General features: G+C 43.3%; 1 protein-coding gene across 5 annotated transcripts in view; it reads right to left on the bottom strand.

Moving 5' to 3' along the window:
• Nucleotides 1-1,436, bottom strand: part of MYOCD (myocardin) — a 103,060-nt gene extending 101,624 nt beyond the window's left edge. For all 5 annotated transcript variants that reach the window (NM_001378306.1, NM_001146312.3, XM_005256863.1 and 2 more), the window contains exon 1: nt 1,083-1,436. Coding sequence is in view for 4 of the 5 variants with exons in the window: in NM_001146312.3 (NP_001139784.1) it covers nt 1,083-1,137 (55 nt within the window). In the remaining variant the exon portion in view is untranslated. The remainder of the gene's footprint in view (nt 1-1,082) is intronic.

Here is a 19,935-nt window from a genome sequence, read left to right as displayed (position 1 = left end):
TCTCCAGTTGACTCCACAGGCATCTAAAAACCAAGGGCATCTAAGAAAGTCACAGATGAACCTTACCTCCCAGCATCTACATTTTTCCTTTTTGAACCATCCATCCCAAGTGAAACAACTGAGTTGGCCCCATGTAGAAGGGCTAAGGAAACTTTAGCTTAGCAACCTATGCCAGCATCTTTCTGACACCTGTTATGTCTAATGTTCACATCAGAGTTCTCCTAAAAGTCATCAATCTAAGTAGAAGTCCTACATTGTTGAGTGTGTTGTTAACCAGTTTTCTAAAACCAACATTATACACAGAGCTACTGAAAAATAACTTCAGAAGTCAAGTGTTGCTTTGTCTAAACGTGGAGACCCACACAGACACCTTCCATGGGCGCGTGTACAAGCCCTTCTGGAGAAGCGGTTAGAGCTCCCGTCTCTCCCTTCCACTCACCTCCACTCAGCGTCCTTTGAGAAGTTTCTCCATGTGCCACTAACACAGAAATTTTGGGGGAAATTCTCTATTTATAAATATCAGATGGTTTGGGAAAAAATATTTGTGGCACTGGGCTTTCTTTTTTTTTCTACAGTGATGTCATTTTAAATACTTGGTGTGCTCCAAATTTGCTATTTTTACTTCCCCCAAGTGACTTTTTTTGGGAAATACATTTGTTTGGATTAGCTACATTTTAAGTGACCCCTGTACCTAACACACAACATCAGGTTCATCTTCTCAGCGATTATAACCGATACTACGCAGCTTCCAAACTTGAAATCCCTTATTTGTTCATTTCCAAAGTTGCTCCCTCTGAATGTACCCCTCCAAAATTTCTATTCATAGATGCAGAGAAAATAAAATAAAAGGATTGGCCTTTTCACAGATGAACAACCACACTCGACCACCCAAAGCACTTACAACGGAAGACACGAAAGGCCCCCAAAGTCAAACAAAACTCTTCGCTTCCACAATGTGCTTTTGGGGAACAAAGTTGAGGTAGACCTGGCAGGCTTTGAAACATTTATTGGAAAGCAGTTCTAGAGTTGAGAATTGCAGAAGAGGAAAGTTTAAGAAGGAATGCTAAATGCCTTAGCCCTACCTGATCTGAACTTGCTCCTAATCAGCAAGGAATGCTCAGACCCCAGGAGTGTCATGTTGAGTCTCAGCAAGCCGCTGGTCCCTTGGCCAGGCGCCCCCTGTTCTCCACCAGCAACAGGCTCCCGGGAGCCCAGCTGACCGCAGCTAACAACCCAGAATTCATCCAACTCTCCGTGAGCTCCCCTGGGTAGGAGTACAGTGGCAGCCAGTGTCCCCAGAAAACTGGCGCCTCCCCCCTCGCCGTGCGGGGCTAATTAACTCTTAGCCGGCGGGACCCTCCTCCTCCTCGGAGGTTGGCCAGGAGCAGCGCGGCATCCCAGGCGTTCCTGTCTGATGTCATAGGCTGCCGGCGATTGCGGAGAATCGCCACCACGCCTTTATGAAGGTCCCAACTTTGCCATCTGATACCCTTTACTACTGACAGGCGCTCAGCCAATCAGGAGCGGCGAGCGGGGTCTGGGGACCCGGAGCCGCCGAAGCCGTCTCGGGAACCGGCTCTTAACTCTTTGCGGCGGGCCCCGCAGCCGCCGAGGCACAGAGGGCGGGAGCAGGGCCAGGGGTCGGGAATCTGGGAGAGGGGCGCGAGCTAAAGAGCGGATGCCCGGAGGAAAGAAGGAAGGGCTGCGACGCCGCGGGGCTTGCAGGTGGTTCGCGGGGCTGCGGCAGCCGCTGGGAGCTCCGAGGTCCTGGGGATGGGCGTGCGCAGCCGGGGCTTCCCCGGCCGGGCTTCTGCCGGCGAAAGGGAAGCGGCCGGGATCTCCCGCCAGCCGGCTGCAAAGGCTGCGCGAAAGGGCGTGCGCGCCCGCGGGACAGTTCACGCGGGGCAATTTGGAAATAAGCTGGACCCCTGAGAAGAAAAGCTTCCGACGGACCGAAGCCCACGCATTCCCCTCGGTTTGAGGGGCTCAGGGCACTGGCAGAGACGATTCTGTATCTCGCAGCTCCAATACTGGACTTAGATGCATTTCCACGGGGAAATGGAAAGGCTTTCATTTTCTAGGATATGCTTTTTGGGGGGACAAATGTGACACGGCGCATCTGGAGATCCAGCTGCGACACAACGCTCCCACCTCACAACCCCGAGGGAATGGGAAAAGATACCTGAGTTGGAGTGAAAAACCTACTGGGCTCTAAATAGGGAGGGGCTCTGGAGCAGGGGGCAAGTCAGAGCTCGGGCTGGGCTTAGCTTGGGAAGGCTCAAAAACTTTGCCTGCGAATGAGTCTCTCCTTAGGGGAAAATCCATTCCGTAACCGACCCAGAGTTATTTGTGCATCTGGCCGAGGTGTTATAGGCACATGGATCAATGAAATAAAACAAAGACCCATCTCTCAAGAAGCCCGTTAAATAGTTGGTGGCTCAGAACATAAAAACCACTCTGTATACGTATATAATTAGGGCTTATTTGCAACTTCATATGCACGTGGACCCCGGGTGTCGTCTATTACACACAAGCCTGCCTGCATACTACGAGTCCTTAAAAGATCAGTCGGTGACAGATGGAGACCCGAGGTGACAATAGCTCATGGGGACAACCTCTAATGTCCTGGTCCCGGCCTCTGCCCCATCCCCTGTTGCTGAAAACACATTAGAGGGGTTAGCCCTAGAGCTTACTCTCTGGATCTGAGCGGGGCGATTTTGTAAATAAGGTCTTCAGGGATAGACACCTTCTTGCTGATGTGTCAGAGACGAGGAAGAACAATCCATCCATGTTCCCTTTGGGGATCTAGTCCTGGCCTGGGCGCCTGTCTATAGGCTGATTTCGTGTGCAGGAGCATCTCAGCGATTACGTAACATCATTTTCCCATTCCTGCTATAACAAATTACCACGAATGTAGTGGCTTAAAACAGCACACATTAATTATCTTGCTGTTATGGAGGGCAGAAGTCCAAAGTGGGTCTCAGGGGGTCAAAATCAAGGTGTCAGCGGGGCTGCGTTAGTTTCTGGAGGCTCTAGGGGAAAATCGATTTCCTCACCTTTTCCAGCTTCTAGAGGCCGCCCGAGTACTTGGCTCATGGCCGCTTCCTCCATTTTTGAAGCCAGCAATCGTGGGTCAAGTTCCTATTGCATCTTACCGCTTTAATGCTCCCTTCCCCACCTTCTGCTTCCCTCTTCTACATTAACCTTACGGCAAAAATAAACTCTATCATAAAGTCAGTTTATTATCCTCCCTAATCTCATCCACTGCCTGGATTCCCTTTGCTGTATAATGTAACCTATTCACAGATTCCTGGGATTAGGACATGAACATGGGAGGAGAGGGCATGATTCCGCCTGAGATCTTTCTTTCTCTTCTACCTCTCCTGGTCTTCAGTCAACCCCCAGCCCCCTGGTCTTCAATGAGAAGAAGGAAAGTGGAGGGAGGTTTGGGAACGGGTGCACACAGGAGTCTGGAAGGGCTCTGACCGGCTTTGAGATGTGTGTGGCAGGGAGGTACTCTACAGGGAAGAGATTGGTGGGATAAGGAATATTGCAAAATTATCTGAGCAGAGAAAACTATTTTGAGCAACATTAAAAAAAGAAAAAAGAAAAAGCCAAACAGATTTTTATCCCGAAGGCTTTGGGGCTGAGAAGAGATACATGGCAACTTGGCAGAGAATTATTTTTTCAGTGCAAGTTGGGATGAAATTAGCTGAAGCCAGCATTGATTGTAGGGTCTGCATGACCTAGATGAGCTGGCCAGGAGTAAGTTGTTTTCTCTCTGCAGGCCTAGGGGGAGTGTGTGTGTGTGTGTGTGTGTGTGCGCGCGTGTGTGTATGTGTGGAGTGTGGTGTGTGTGTGTGTATGTGTGTTTGCAGGGAAGCAGTTTCTTTTTTTCAGTGAGTTTGGGAAATGCCAATAACCATAGCCCCCCTCAATTTTCCCATCACAGTGTGGAGCTACTGACATATATCCTGAAATTTATACCTCCTATGGCTTGGAATATCTATGGTTATAAATATGCTCATAAAGAAGTTCATCATTTCTCCTCTCTAGCCAAGCACTTTTGGTAAAACAAAAAAAATTTTTGAGAGGGGTGGAATTTGGAGAAGATGTTCTCAAGGAGAACAGAACTCCTAAGCTGCTAGGCTCGAAAAGCAGCAGGCTAATGCAGCAGCGGCATGCTGCCAGGCTCTGTCCTGCAATGTCACCCACCACCTTGGAGTATGTTTTCCTTGCCAGGCTACTCCATGACCTTCTTTTCCTGGGGCTTGGAGTAAGCCCGTGATGTGACACAAAGGCAAGACATGAGCCTCCAGTGTGAGAAAGATCTTCTTTCCATCAGGATAACCCTGTACTTTGGAGTGAATTATTGGAGTTCTCTGGGATACTCAACGTCTTATCTGTAAAATGGAGTTAGAAATATTTACTTCCAGGAAGAGTTGGGATATTTAAATGAAAGAATACATGTGGGGTGCCCAGAACAATTTTGGTGTGTTTTTTATTATTATTTTTTATTATTTTGAGACAGAGTCTCGCTCTGTTGCCCAGGCTGGAGTACAGTGGTGCGATCTGGGCTTACTGCAACCTTGCCTCCTGGGTTCAAGAGATTCTCCCTGCCTCAGCCTCCCGAGTAGCTGGGATTACAGATGCATGCCACTGCGCCCAGATGATTTTGTATTTTTAGTAGAGATAGGGCTTCCCCCTATCAAGACCAGCCAAGCTGGTCTTGAACTCCTGCGCTCAGGTGATCTGCCTGCCTTGGCCTCCCAAAGTGCTGGGATTACAGGTGTAAGCCACCGTGCCCGGCCCTGGTGTGTTTTGGACCCTTCTTTTTACTTCCCCTGCCCCAACCATCTCCAAACATTCATGAAGATTCCAAGCAATTCTGTCCCTTTCCCCTTCATTTTGGCTTTCTCTCCTTTGCTGTTAGTTACCTGTGTAATAAGTTGCTAGACATTTAGCAGCTTAAAACAATGCACATATTTATTATCTCACAGTTTTCATGGTCAGGAGTCCAGGCATGGATTATCTGGGACCTCTGCTTAGGGTCTAACAATGCTGCACTCAAGGCGCTGGCTAGGGTGGCAGTCCCATGAGAAGCTCAGTGTCCCCTTCCAAGTTCACTGGTTATTGATAGAATTCAGGTCTTTGCAGTGTTAGAACTCACAATGGCTTGCTTTTTTCCAAGGCCAGCAGGAGAATGTCTTTTTCTTTCTTTCTTTCTTTTCTGAGACAGAGTTTTGCTCTTGTTGCCCAGGCTGGAGTGCAATGGCGTGATCTCGGCTCACCGCAACCTCCGCCACCCTGGTTCAGGCGATTCTCCTGCCTCAGCCTCCTGAGTAGCTGAGATTACAGGCATGCACCACCACCCCCGGCTAATTTTTGCATTTTTAGTAGAGAAGGGGTTTATCCATGTTGGTCAGGCTGGTCTCCAACTCCCAACCTCAGGTGATCCACCCTCCTCGGCCTCCCAGTGTTGTGATTACAGGCATGAGCCACCGCACCTGGCTGAGAATGTCCTCTTTTAAAGGGCTCACCTGATTAGGTCAGGCTTACCCAGGATAATCTTTCTTTTAACTCAAAGTCATAGTAATTAGGAACTTTAATTATGTCTGAAAAACCTCTTCATCTTTGCCAAATAATGTAACCTAATCATAACAGTGCATCCATCACAGTCACTGGTCTCTCCCATATTGAAGGAGAGAAGATTATCCAAGGGGATAGCTCATTGAGAGGTCACCTTTCAATTCTGCCTTCCATAGCTGTGGTCCTCAGCCTTCAGCCACAATGGAAGTGATTATGTCCATAGGTGTGAGTTCAAAGTACAGTGCAGAGTCACCACCTTAAATCTTGACCCCTTACACATCTCCTTTCCTAGGAGCACCATGAGGTCAGCTGCTGGGTCACAGACAGGGGATAGTGTGGTGAGCAGAGGGACAGCTCACCTATGTTGTTCTCAGGACCTCGAATTCTCCCTGTGGTCCTCTCTTAGCAAATCCCCTTCCCCACCAAGGTCATTATTGTGTGAGTGGATCTCATGGTCTTCTTGAGACATGAAGAGTTCTTCAGTACCTGTCTCTAGTATCACCTCTTGTCCATTTTCTCTTTTTATTCTCTCACACATCGGTGAATAAGTAACTTCAGGGAAGCATTTATTCATCTTTCATTAGTTCATTTAAGATGCATTTAGGGGGCCAGGCACGGTGGCTCACACCTGTAATCCCAGCACTTTGGGAGACCAAGGCAGGTGGATCACTTGAGTCCAGGAGTTTGAGACCAGCCTGGGAAATATGATGAAACCCCGTCTCTGCTAAAAATACACACACACACACACACACACACACACACACACACGCACACACACAAAAGTCAGGCATGGTGGCACATGCCTGTAGTCCCAGCTACACAGGAAGCTGAGGTGGGAGAATCACCTGATCACCTGAGCCCAGGAAGTTGAGGCTGCAGTGAGCCATGATTGTGTCACTGCACTCCAGCCTGGGTGACAGAGTGAGACCTTGTCTCAAAAAAAAAAAAAAAAAAAAAAGAAAGAAAGAAAGAAAAAGAAAATGCATTTAGGGATGTGAGCAAGTCACTGTGGCAAGTGCCCTGGCAGGCATGCATAGAGAGATAGGTTTGCAAACTCAAATGAGTCGAGTGAGCCAGAGAGAAGATAAAATGTAGGCAGGAGGGGGTTTCACACAACAAACTGTTTAGCAGGTGGCTCATCCAAGGGGGGCAGCCATGACCTAGCTCTAGGTGACTGTAGCCATGAGAGAAGGAACACAGGCCCTCATTGCTATTCTCCTTAACTGTTCAAAGACACTAGAAATCCAGGTTGTAATGTGAAAGGTATTGGCTTTTAAAAATAAGAACAACTAGGCTGGGCGCGGTGGCTCACACCTGTAATCCCAGCACTTTGGGAGGCTGAGGTGGGTGGATCACAAGGTCAGGAGTTCAAGACCAGCCTGGCCAATATGGTAAAACCCTGTCTCTACTAAAAATACAAAAATTAGCCAGGAATGGTGGCGGGTGACTGTAGTCCCAGGCACTTGGGAGGCTGAGGCAGGAGAATTGCTTGAACCTGGGAGGTGGAGGTTGCAGTGAGCCGAGATCGCGCCACTGCACTCCAGCCTGGATGACAAAGCCAGACTCTGTCTCAAAAAAAGAAAAGAAAAAAAAAAAGAACAATTATCAGTACATTTAAAAAATGTATTAAAACACCATAGGTCAGCCAGGAGCAGATCCAAATTGTACAATCTGAGTCTCATAAAATTTGAGGGTTCTTTAAAAAATGAATGCAAAATTATAACTATGATTTTAAGTGCAAGGTTGACTTTTTACATAGAATGAGAAATGAAATCACAGCTAACAGTAGCATGGAAGATTTAGTATTTTTTTATTTCTAAGATTCTTCAGTCAATTTGACCAGAAATGGTAATGTAGAAATGCTTTCTAATTGCATCCTGCCTTTTCTCCTTTCTACCTTGAAGTCTCTCAAACTCCCAGTTACTCCCAGCACCCACAAGGCCCATACAAGTGTGTGTGTGTCGGGGGGTGGGGTGGGGGGGAGAAGAGTCAAATGGAGCCAATAGAGCATGTCTGCACACTGAGTCAGACCCCTGTGAATCTTCTTTGTGAACTCTGTTGTGAAATTTCTCCTCTGCTTTCCAAGAGCTTGACTGCAGTAGGGAGGAGGAAGTATGTACCATCAAGTCACCTACTTGAAGAATTACCTATTTAAGAAATGCAGCCCCAGCCTCTCAATTTCTTTCCATTCCAGAAATATTTATTAAGTGCAGACTGTGTTCTAGCACTGTAAGGAATATAAAGATAAAGCAGATATGGTCCAGAACCTCTAGGGGCTAAGAATATAGTGGTGGGGGTCATCCACAAACTCTCAACAAACCAGAAATCCAGTGTCATTATTCTACGAGTTAATGTCATGAAAGCACAGATGGAACTCATGTCAGCCACACTATTAACATAACCTGCTTTCTTTCATAAAAGTGAATGTAGAAGGACTTTTGCCTAATTTAAACAAAGATTTAAACAACATAAAGAAAGTAGTTTCAGTTGCAGGATCGGTCACAGCCCCTTCCGAGTCTGCCCGACAGCCAGCAATGCTTTCACCTTTCCTCTCTCTCTTTGCACTTCTCCATCCTAGTTCCTGCCCAAGAAAAGGGAATACAATTTGCTCATCCCGATTTGGAGCCACTCGGTTGGGCCACATTTACTAGATAGCAGGGTCTCTGTGCTGAAAGTCATGCACCCCTGTGTGGCCTCTTCTTCTTCGTCTTCCTGGATCCTTGCTACTCTCACTTTAAGAGGGGTGAAGAGGAGTGTAAAATAGAAACAGTGAGCATTCTGGCAGTGTGTAAATACAAACCATTCGTGATTCCAGCTTCGTTCTTGCCTTTAGGTTACATGACACAGACATATTGCCCAAGCTTGTTTGCACTGGATCCATGCAATGATAGTTTCCTCGGGGTCCAAGTTATATCTGAGATGGCTGTCTCACTGCTGTGACTTGTTTGCCATAGAGAATATGGACAATGGAGAAGTGTGTTGTCTGGAGATGAACTCATAGTTGTCATTCATTTCTGGGTAGGTGCAATTTTCAGGGTGCAAATTCTTCAATTTCACTTGTTTTTTTTCCCCCTCTATTTTAACAGTACCAATGTGAGTAAAGACCACCCAGTCTTCCAGTAGACATTTATCCATCTTTGTTTTTCCAGGTTCTCTTGAAATTGATCATTGCTGCTTCTTTTCTTCCTCTTAGAACTCCTTCCAAAGCTGTATATCTTTCTGAAATTCTTCTCTTGTGCTCTAGACCCATATATCCAAATGCTTTCTCCACTTGATTTCCCAAAAGCTCTTTGACAATAAGAGGTGCAAAACCAAATTTAACCACTTCCTCTCATCAAGTTTTCCTTCAGACCTAATCCTTTTCCCACACTTTCTTTCCTGAACTTTCCTGCTCATTCCAATGAATGGGGAAAAGTATCCACCTAATGACTGGTTTGGGGACGATGGCCACAATCTACGTTTCTGCATTCTCTCCATCCTCAATCGATCACCACGCCACATCCATTCTCCTCCCTAAATACCTATTGAATGTACCTCCTTTATTTATCCCTAATGCCTCTTACTTACTTCAAGCTCTTGTTGACTTTTCCCCTGGTTTACTGCATGTGTCTCTTGAGTGGTCTTCTTCCTCTTAGGCTTTCCCTGCTCCAGTCCATCTTCCACGTTGTCATCAAAGTGATAATCCTAAATCATAAGGCGGATCACACTGCTTCCTGCTTAAACTCCTTTTTGGCTCTCTTGTGCCAAAGGGTTATGTCCATGCTCCTAAGTGTGACATAGAAAGCCCCACATACTATGGCCCTTGTCAATTTCTCCTACTTTATTTCCTCCCCTTTCTTCCCAACCTCGTTTCCTTCCTTCCTTCCTTCTTTTCCTTCCTTCCTTCTTTCTTTTTCTTTCTTTCTCTCTCTCTTCTTTCTTTCTTTCTTTGTTTCTTTCGAAGTTTTGCTTTTGTCACCCTGCCTGGAGTGCAGTGGTGCGATCTCGGCTCACGGAAACCTCCACCTCCCGGGTTCAAGCAATTCTCCTGCCTCAGCCTCCTGAGTAGCTGGGATTACAGGCACCTGCCACCATGCCGGCTAATTTTTTTTATTTTTAGTAGAGATGGGCTTTCACCATGTTGGTCAGGCTGGTCTCGAACTCCTGAACTCAAGTGATCCACCCACCTTGGCCTCCCAAAGTGCTGGGATTACAGGTGTGAGCCACCGTGCCCAGCCTGTTATTGCATTTTCAAAGTATCATCAATTATTTTTATTTTTTACTTTACTTTTATTTTATTATTTTATTTTATTTTACTTTACTATTTATTTTATTTTATTTTATTTATTTTATTTTATTTTAGACAAGGTCTTACTTTGCTGCCTAGGTTGGAGTGCAATGGCGTGATCTTGGCTCACTGTAGCTTCCACCCCCTAGGCTCAAGGGATCCTCCCACCTCAGCCTCAGACCCAGCTAATTTTTGTATTTTTTGTAGGGAAGGGATTTTGCCATGTTGCCCAGGGTGGTCTTGGGCTCAAGCGATCTGAGTGCCTCGGCTTCCCAAAGTGTTGGGGTTACAGTCATGAGCCACCATGCCTGGGCCATCAATTACTTTTTAGCATAAAAAAATTCCTCCACTAGTTTGAAGGCTCCTGGAGCACCGGAATATAGTTTTCATTTATGTTTATAACCCATTATCTATTTTTCCTTTTATTACTATTTTGCTAATTTTCTATTATTCTTTCCATAATAAACCGCCCTTTGACATAATTTGTATTTGAATTATTATATACAGAATAGTGTTTGTTGTCTTTTGTCTTTTCTTCTGCGAATAGATTACACATTTCTTGAGAGCTCTGGCTTGTCCTGTATCCTTCAATTCTACCAAGGCATGATACATTGAGGCTTTCAAAAAGCAGCTGCCCAACAGGGGTTTGTTGTGTGATGCTTGGATGCAGCAACTGTTTTGTTCTGATTCACTCTGTTCAGGGCCTGATACAACATTATACACTTAAACCTCTTCTGGTTCATAAAGTGTGATCTGGGAGTTTGCCTTCTCTTCTAAATGTTTTCCTTTTCTTTCTTTCTTTTTTGCAACTGGTTGTGTTCTGTTTCCTAACTCCTCCTTTCTCTCAGTTTGCTTACTATCTCCCCCGCTTTGCAGAAAACAGAATGGAGGCCCATAAATCCCTGACCTGCTTCAGGTGACCTTACAAATCATGCATGCCTCATCTCATTAACTCAGGATGCCTATTATGGCTAAGGAATGGTGAAGCACCACCCTGTATGCAACAGGAGTGAGGAAGGGGAGGAGGAAGGCCGGTGGTACTATTTAGTGGACAGAAATTCCCCCAGAGCTTTCTAAGTCTCTTCACCTCACCCCACATCTCCAGGGCTGTGAGTCAGGAAGGGGAGCTTTTCATTTTAGGGGGCACTAGGAAAGATATTTTTCTCTCTCTGAAAATAGCATGGCCCATTCAAGGAGCTACAACAAATTAGCTAAAACCAACATCTGACTATGAAAATTAGTACATTCCAAGTGAGAATGTCTGAAAAGGAAAAATTCCAAATGCTATTAAAACCAGCTATAATAACAGTAAAGAAAATTCACGGTGGGAGGCTTGTCCACCAGCGATACTCTCAGGAAGCCGGTCTCAGGAACCCAGTGTTCAGTTGAAGGAAACTTAACAAATAATCATTCAATCCAGCAAATGGCCAAGGGACATTCAGATCCACTGAATGCTTTTGGAGCAAAATTCCTTTTTGCACATAAGATTTGAGCAGATATGCTAGTTTTATAGAAACTGACTCAAGCGGTCCTCAGACTATAACCTGCCCAATGTCCCAGCAGCAGTTCACAGTCCTTAGCTGTCATATGCTTGTCTTGATAAGGACCTTCCTGTTTTACAATTGCACTGTTTTTATGCTTCTTTTCTCCAACGTCATATGTAATTTTAACTTTTTTTTTTTTATTATTATTTTTTTTTATTATACTCTAAGTTTTAGGGTACATGTGCACATTGTGCAAGTTAGTTACATATGTATACATGTGCCATGCTGGTGCGCTGCACCCACTAACGTGTCATCTAGCATTAGGTATATCTCCCAATGCTATCCCTCCCCCCTCCCCCCACCCCACCACAGTCCCCAGAGTGTGATATTCCCCTTCCTGTGTCCATGTGATCTCATTGTTCAATTCCCACCTATGAGTGAGAATATGCGGTGTTTGGTTTTTTGTTCTTGCGATAGTTTACTGAGAATGATGGTTTCCAATTTCATCCATGTCCCTACAAAGGACATGAACTCATCATTTTTTATGGCTGCATAGTATTCCATGGTGTATATGTGCCACATTTTCTTAATCCAGTCTATCATTGTTGGACATTTGGGTTGGTTCCAAGTCTTTGCTATTGTGAATAGTGCCGCAATAAACATACGTGTGCATGTGGTACCAAAACAGAGATATAGATCAATGGAACAGAACAGAGCCCTCAGAAATAATGCCGCATATCTACAACTATCTGATCTTTGACAAACCTGAGAAAAACAAGCAATGGGGAAAGGATTCCCTATTTAATAAATGGTGCTGGGAAAACTGGCTAGCCATATGTAGAAAGCTGAAACTGGATCCCTTCCTTACACCTTATACAAAAATCAATTCAAGATGGATTAAAGATTTAAACGTTAGACCTAAAACCAAAAAAACCCTAGAAGAAAACCTAGGCATTACCATTCAGGACATAGGCGTGGGCAAGGACTTCATGTCCAAAACACCAAAAGCAATGGCAACCAAAGCCAAAATTGACAAATGGGATCTAATTAAACTAAAGAGCTTCTGCACAGCAAAAGAAACTACCATCAGAGTGAACAGGCAACCTACAACATGGGAGAAAATTTTCGCAACCTACTCATCTGACAAAGGGCTAATATCCAGAATCTACAATGAACTCAAGTAATTTTAACTTTTTAAAGCCCGTTCGTGTGTATTTTCCTTTGCGATTTTTCATCTCAATCCTTTGAGAGATTTAAGAAACTTTTGGACCATTGAAAAAATGGACACAGGACAAAGAACCACTGATTCACCAACAGTGGCCTCTCTACTTAGAGACAGACCTAAGACCAGGTCTTGGTCACAAGGCTTCTGTGTGACTCTTGGACACATGGGGCCTCTAATGTGACAGATGACTGAGAAGCCTGCTCAGGTTTCCCTCTCTGGGTATCCACATACCCTGCCTGAATCCCTGCCTGCCTGGGACAGGTGTTTTTTTTTTATTCCCCTGGGTGGTCAGCATTCATGTCAGGGAAAATTTAAACATCTCTAAGTTGCTTCCTGGCTCATGCAGTCTTTTCTTACAGTACGTTGCCAATTCCTTTTCTTTTTTTCTGGAAAATTCTTTATTACGAACTGACCTTGGTACTAACCCATTCCATTAATAAAAACAGGATTTTGTTACATTATCATTTAAAACTAAAGAACAGTAACTGTGTCTATGGCTTTCAAGACACGAGTCTAGGATATCTTCCAGTGTGTTTGACAGCAAATTTGTTAAAAATGACCAAATGAGAATCCTAGAAGATCCGATAAAATGTATGTGACTGCAGATGGTTTCGGTTTGGAAAGAAGATGAATGAAACACCTAGTCATTGGTAGCTCTGTCAGTCTTCATCTTGTATATCTTGTATACATGTTTTAAGTCTTCATCTTTGGCAATACCAGCACAGAGGCTAGTTATGGCAAAGGATATGGGTTCTGGAGCCTGGCACCAGAATGCAATTCCCTAACTCCGCCTTTTATTACCTGTGTGACCTTGGGCAACTAACTTAACCTCTCTGTTCTTTGTGTCTTGGTTTCTTCATCTGTAAGCAAGGATATCTAGCTCATAGGTTATGGAGAGAATTCCGTGGGTAAACAGATATAAAGAAAACACTCGGGACAGAGCCTGGTACATGGTAGATTTCCTACAAATGAGAGCCATGATGATGATGTTGATGACGATGATGATAATGATGGTGGTGGTGATGGCAATGACGATGATAATGCTAGAATCCCTACACATCAACCAATCCATTTACAGGCAAAGCTAAAGTGCAAAGAAACACCTCTTCTCTTCTAAAGTACTCTACAAATGCCACATATTCAGACTCTGTAATGGTGATCCTTTGGGAAATAACTATTTTTTTGTGGTAAAACATCCAGACCAATTACAAACCAGGGGAAAGTTCAATATCATTTAAACGGCATCCAGTTCCATCAGACCAGGCTGGCACTGCATGAAATCAGTGCCTCGTGGTTGCTGTGGTGCCCCTGCAAGGGGGGTGGGGCAATCTCCAGGGATGCTGCCATCAGAACCCCTGAGATGCTGGCCTGGGTTAGCAGGCTTCTGAGTTTTCTGAAGGCTTCACTCAAAATATAAATGAGGAATGCTTCATGCTTAAGTTAATTATAACAATGGAAACAATTATATTCGGTTTTGAGGCATTTAGATTTTGGAAGTATTGTTTTTGCCCTATTTGAAAAGAAAAAAAATAAACCCTGCAGACGAATATCTGCTTGGCCAGAACTCTGTGAAACTAGAGCTAATAGTGCTAAAGATTTTTTGTGTCCTCTTTTTTTTTCCTTTGGCTGTATTTGAGGTTGCTCACCAGTAGTTTTTGAAGACAGGCATATCACCACACCCGCTGAGGAACAGAGCCCAAAGTTAAATGCTGATGAACACATCTGTCTTCAAAAAGTTTTCTGAAATTGGGCTGCAACATCCTTATTTACATGTATGTATTTACATATACACACATGAGTACAACATTAGCCAATATGGAGAGAATGCTTACTATATGCTAGGAATCTGAATGGTGGTATTATCTCACTTAACACTTAACAATAACCTTAGCAAGAGGTAAAATTTTTATTCCCATCCTACGGATAGGGAAATTGAGGTTCAGAGAGAGTACCATCCTTAGACCAATGCAAGTAGGGCCTCCATCCTAGATGCCACATCTCAGGCATCCTCCTGTACTTTGGAGTGCCTCTCTTGAAATAGTTTAAGTCTTCCTGTGGTACCTGGGAACTGTGGAGGCGAGAGGTGGCATCTTGGCTAGGTGTTCTGACTCCATGTCACATAGGGTGGGACCCTCACATAGGGTGGGCAAGTTCCTGTTGCTTTCCCTCAGGGTACTCTCCAACCCTCTGTCCTGTGGTGGGATCAACAAGATGCCCAAATGAGCTCTGAAACTTGAGCCTAATGAATTGTCCTGGGTCCCCATGACCAGACTTCAGGAGGGTAGCCTAGTGAGCTGATAACTTCCTTTGGCTTGTGCATTATTTCTTCTGTGGGATCGGCACAAGATTAGGCCTCAAGGGTGGAGCTGACGTGATTTTGAGTGACTCAAATTATTTATATAGACGGGATCCCTGCTATATATATATAATATATATTATATATTATAATAACATATATTATATATATTATATATTATAACATATATTATATATATATTATATATTATAATAACATATATTATATATATTATATATTATAACATATATTATATATATTTTATATATTATAATAACATATATTATATATATTTTATATATTATAACATATATTATATATATTTTATATATTATAACATATATTATATATATTTTATATATTATAATAACATATATTATATAATGTATAATATATATCATATATATTATATATGATATATAATATATATTATATATGATAATTATATATCATATATATTATATATGATATATAATATATATTATATAATATATAGCAGGGATCCCATCTATATATTATATTATATAATATATATAATATAATATAATATAAATTATATAATATAATATATATTATGTATAATATATATTATACATAATATATATTATATTATATATAATATATATAATATATATTATATATAATGTATAATATATAAAATATATATAAATTATATATAATATATAATATATAGTATATATACACACACATATATACAAATACACACTATACAAATATATATACAATATATATATTTGTGTGTGTATATATATATTTGTGTATATGTGTGTGTGTGTGTGTGTGTGTATATATATATATATATATATATATATATATATATATATATATTCATGCAAAGCCCTTGCATCTTCTAGGGGTAGCCCTGCTTACAGAGGTGAAGCAATTTGGTGAGCATAGGGGCTGACATTTGACCTCAGATGTGTCTGAAGTACTCACATATTTGTTCTTTGTTTTAAAAAATACTAGGGGTTTTGATCCTTACACGTAAATTTTGCAAAAAATGATCAGTTCTCTCTACAATATTTGTTACATCTTTTATGTGCAGAGGGACCAAACCATCCTTCCATGGTTCTCTTTGCTCTATGACCTCGTTCTGTGCTAGGCTTCCCTTACATAAGAATATAACTTTAATAGTCTACACAGGTTTATTACGGGACACTGGGACTTCCCAGGAGTGAATTAATGTCTTGGGATTGGTATTATGACAGGTGCCATTAAGCTGCCATCACTGGTGTAGCCTGGTCCTTGAAGAAGCATTGATGGAATTTAGAAACAGCCTCACGACTCTATAGTTGGAAATGACACCCCATGTCTGGGGACAGAGCAAAAGCATTTCTGACGTCTGACAAAAGCATCACCAAAGAGAGAGAGAGAAAAGACAATTCTACAAACATTCATGACTATGAAATTAAAAAAATACCGATGTTATTTGTTTATTAAAGATTATAACTCACTTCAACATCACACAGAACGAACCCCCTTTAACCAGATAATAAGCACAGCCTGTTCTTTATGATAATGCCAACAATAAAACTGGAAGACTTTACTATTTGTTATTTGTCGGGTCGACTGAACAAATCATTTTTCTACATGCCGGGCTTGGAAAATTCTTTTATTTTCGTTCTCCTTATTATAAATAAAAATGGCATAGAGCTGATAAATTTATCTCAATGCTCTTTGCACCGTAAAAGCAACATGAGTTGGCACTGGCCAGAAGTTCCGGGGTTTGCAGCATGCACGGTGCACATATGTTCTCATTTTCCATTAGGGCTGCATGAAAGCTTCACTTTAGCTCACGGCAATGGTAGAAGTTGGGTTTATTTTTTTTTTAATTTTCATACCAATGTGGATCCCAAATCCATTTATTTCTCTTTATGTTCAGCCATCATGCTGAACCACATTAGCATGCATTTCTTACTTAAATGGTGTAATCGCCTCCTAAATATTCTCCCAACTTCTGATCTAGCCTCTCTAAACTCTGGCTCCACACAGCAGCCAGAAAGATCTTTTAACATAAATCAGTTCCAAGTATTCCCTTGCTTAAAACTCTCCTGCAGCTTCCCAGTGCCCTTAGCATAAAGCGAACACCTCATCACGGCTGCTCTATCTCCTGACAGCTTTGCTTTGCCCCTCTGCATCTTCCTCCTTCTCCTCTTGTCCCACTCTTCACCCTGGGGGGTCCGCAGGGAGGCTGGTCAATAGGACCTGCATTAGTGGACTCCTTTGCCCTTTAGCTTCTGAGTGTGTCCAGTTAATGGGGAGTTCTGCTGGGGATTGGAGGGAGGCAAAGGGTGAGGTCAGGGCATTTGTTTCCCAGGGTCCCCGCCAGGGCTCCAGTCAAGAAGTTCCCTCTATTTGACTCCCTCCCTGTGGTCCCAGTGACCACTCTCTCCTGTTTGTTCAGTGCTAAGAGTGGTCAGGGGTCTGCTGTCCTACCTACTATGTTTGGTGGTTTTCCTATCCCACCCACAACTTTGTAAATATCCCTTTTTGTCAGAATCACCTCCATTTGCCCGATTTTTACATGCCCTCTGCCCCTTGCTGACTTAGAATCCCCACGAGCCTGGCACCTGCCTGCCCTGCTAACCTCACTCCAGGCTCTCCTTGTTTACTGACCTCTGGCCACACTAGCCCCCTCTCCTTCTGCACATACCCCATGGCCATTTGCAGTCCACGCTGCCTGGAATGTCCAGCCCCCCAGATCTTTGCATGCCTGGACTCCATTCACAGAAGTAGCAGCCTGGCAGAAAGGAGTTCTCTGACCTTCCTGGCTTAAGTAGCCCACTCCTCCCAAATAATTACAATCCAATTAATTTTAAGTTCCTGATTATTAAAATGATTTCATTTAGTTATCTACTTTTTTTTCTGTCTCTACTACTGGAATACGAGCAGGAACCTTAATTCTCTTGTGCTCCTTTGAAACCTCAGTGCCCAGAATTTGTCCAGAGTAGGTTATCAGTGAGTGGTTGCTAAGCGTTTGTCCAATGAATCTGGTTATACCGTCTCATTTCAGAGATAAGGAAGCTGAGACCTGTGTAAATGGACCCTGGACCCATTTGCTCAGGTACTCACTCGGGGAATCAAACCAGGGTTTCTGTGACCCAGGGGCTCTTTCCTGTTTGGGGTAATTCCTATCTCATTTATGTCTTATTTTTCTTGTAGAAAGGGACCTGTCTTCTTTACTTTCTGAATTTATATTCAATAAAAATTTGTACTTTACTGAATTTGTATTCTTAAAATTATGAATACTTGGCTGGGTGCAGTGACTCACGCCTGTAATCCCAGCACTTTGGGAGGCTGCGGCGGGTAGATTACCTGAGGTCAGGGGTTCGAGACCAGCCTGACCAACATGGTGAAACCCTGTGTCTACTAAAAATACAAAATTAGCCAGGCGTGGTGGCGCATGCCTGTAATCTCAGCTACCCGGGAGGCTGAGGCAGGAAAATTGCAAGAACCCGGGAGGCAGAGGTTGCAGTGAGCCGAGATAGCACCACTGCACTCCAGCCTGGGCAAAAAGAGCAAAACTCCATCTCAAAAAAAAAAAAAAAATTATGAATATTTTATTCTAAAGCATGGATTTTCTAACCTGCATTTTCCGCCAATCTTTTCTCATTCTTTCTTGCTCTCTTTCTTTTTCTTTCACCCATCTATCTTCCACATCGTCTTGTAGTTATGAATCACCGACTAAGAGTTAATGTTTAGGTAATGACTTAGAGAAACCATGTCAGTATCAGGAAGAAATTGAGGAAATCAAGCCTGGGGGAATCTTTAAGGAAATCAGGGCATTTGTACCACAAATAGTAGGAGTAAGAGTTACCACTACTTGGCTGATGAGTCCTCACTCTGGACCAAACATAGTATGAGGTTATTTACACATAAACCACATTTATTCCTTACATCAATCCTACTATTCATGCATCATTCTTCTATAGTAGGGGAAAAAGCTGATGTTCAGGGAGGTTAGGGGGTTGCCTAAGGCTACTGACGAGAGCATCCATTCCGACACAGGTGCTACTTGCCCTAAACCCATACACCACCTTCCTCAAGTCTAAGGAGGCTTCTGGTAAGGAAGAAACCCCCAGGGGGCAGGTTACCAGCCTTCACCCTGAGGGTGAGACAGATGTAAGACTGACTGGGAGTCCAGTTAAAGATTAGGAAATTGGGTGAAGCAAGAACGCCCAAGAAATAGCACAGAAGAACCAGGTTAAGGGTAAGGGACAGAAATTAGGTCTTGAGCACCTCAGGCCAGAGGCTGGGGATCGAGGCCCGTCGGAGGACGGTGCTTTCTAGCCCTCTGAAATTCTGACCCCTTCCTTATGTCTTTAAGAATGTTCTTTGGAAGTGGTATGTAAAAGAAGAAGGAGGGGCCGTTGCGGTGGCTCACGCCTGTAATCCCAGCACTTTGGGAGGCCAAAGCGGGCAGATCACGAGGTCAGGAGATCAAGACCATCCTGGCTAACACAGTGAAACCCCATCTCTACTAAAAATACAAAAAATTAGCCAGGTGTGGTGGCACGTACCTGTAGTCCCAGCTACTCGGGCAGCTGAGGCAGGAGAATCACTTGAACCCGGGAGGTGGAGGTTGAAGTGAGCTGAGATCACGCCACTGCACTCCAGCCTGGGTGACAGAGTGAGACTTTGTCTCAAAAAAAAAAAAAAAAAAAAGAAGGAAGAAGGAAGAATGAGGGTCTTTTTCTCTAACCCAGTGATAAGAGGAGATACTGGTTGGAAGTATTCAGTGATAAGAGGAGATACCCTCTCCAGGGAAGAGATAAGTGCACAAACATGGGACTAGCTCTTGAAGTCTAGTAAAACAACCATACAGGACAGAGTTGGGGGAAGCATTCAGAAGTTAGAAATATCTAGCAAGAAAGGAGGAGGCCAAGCTGAAAACTTAGTGACCATTAACTACCAATAGGACTCTTCAGACCATAGGCTATCAACTCTTACTTGAAGCCCAAGATTCAGTATTAAATATATTTCCCTTACTGGAGTCGCCTGCAAATGCTGCCTCATTGCCCCAGGAGAGTTTCTCTCTATTGCAGAAAAGAAT

Source organism: Homo sapiens, chromosome 17 (assembly GCF_000001405.40).
Source record: "Homo sapiens chromosome 17, GRCh38.p14 Primary Assembly".
NCBI classification, from domain to species: domain Eukaryota; kingdom Metazoa; phylum Chordata; class Mammalia; order Primates; family Hominidae; genus Homo; species Homo sapiens.
This window is presented reverse-complemented; position numbering and strand designations above follow the sequence as displayed.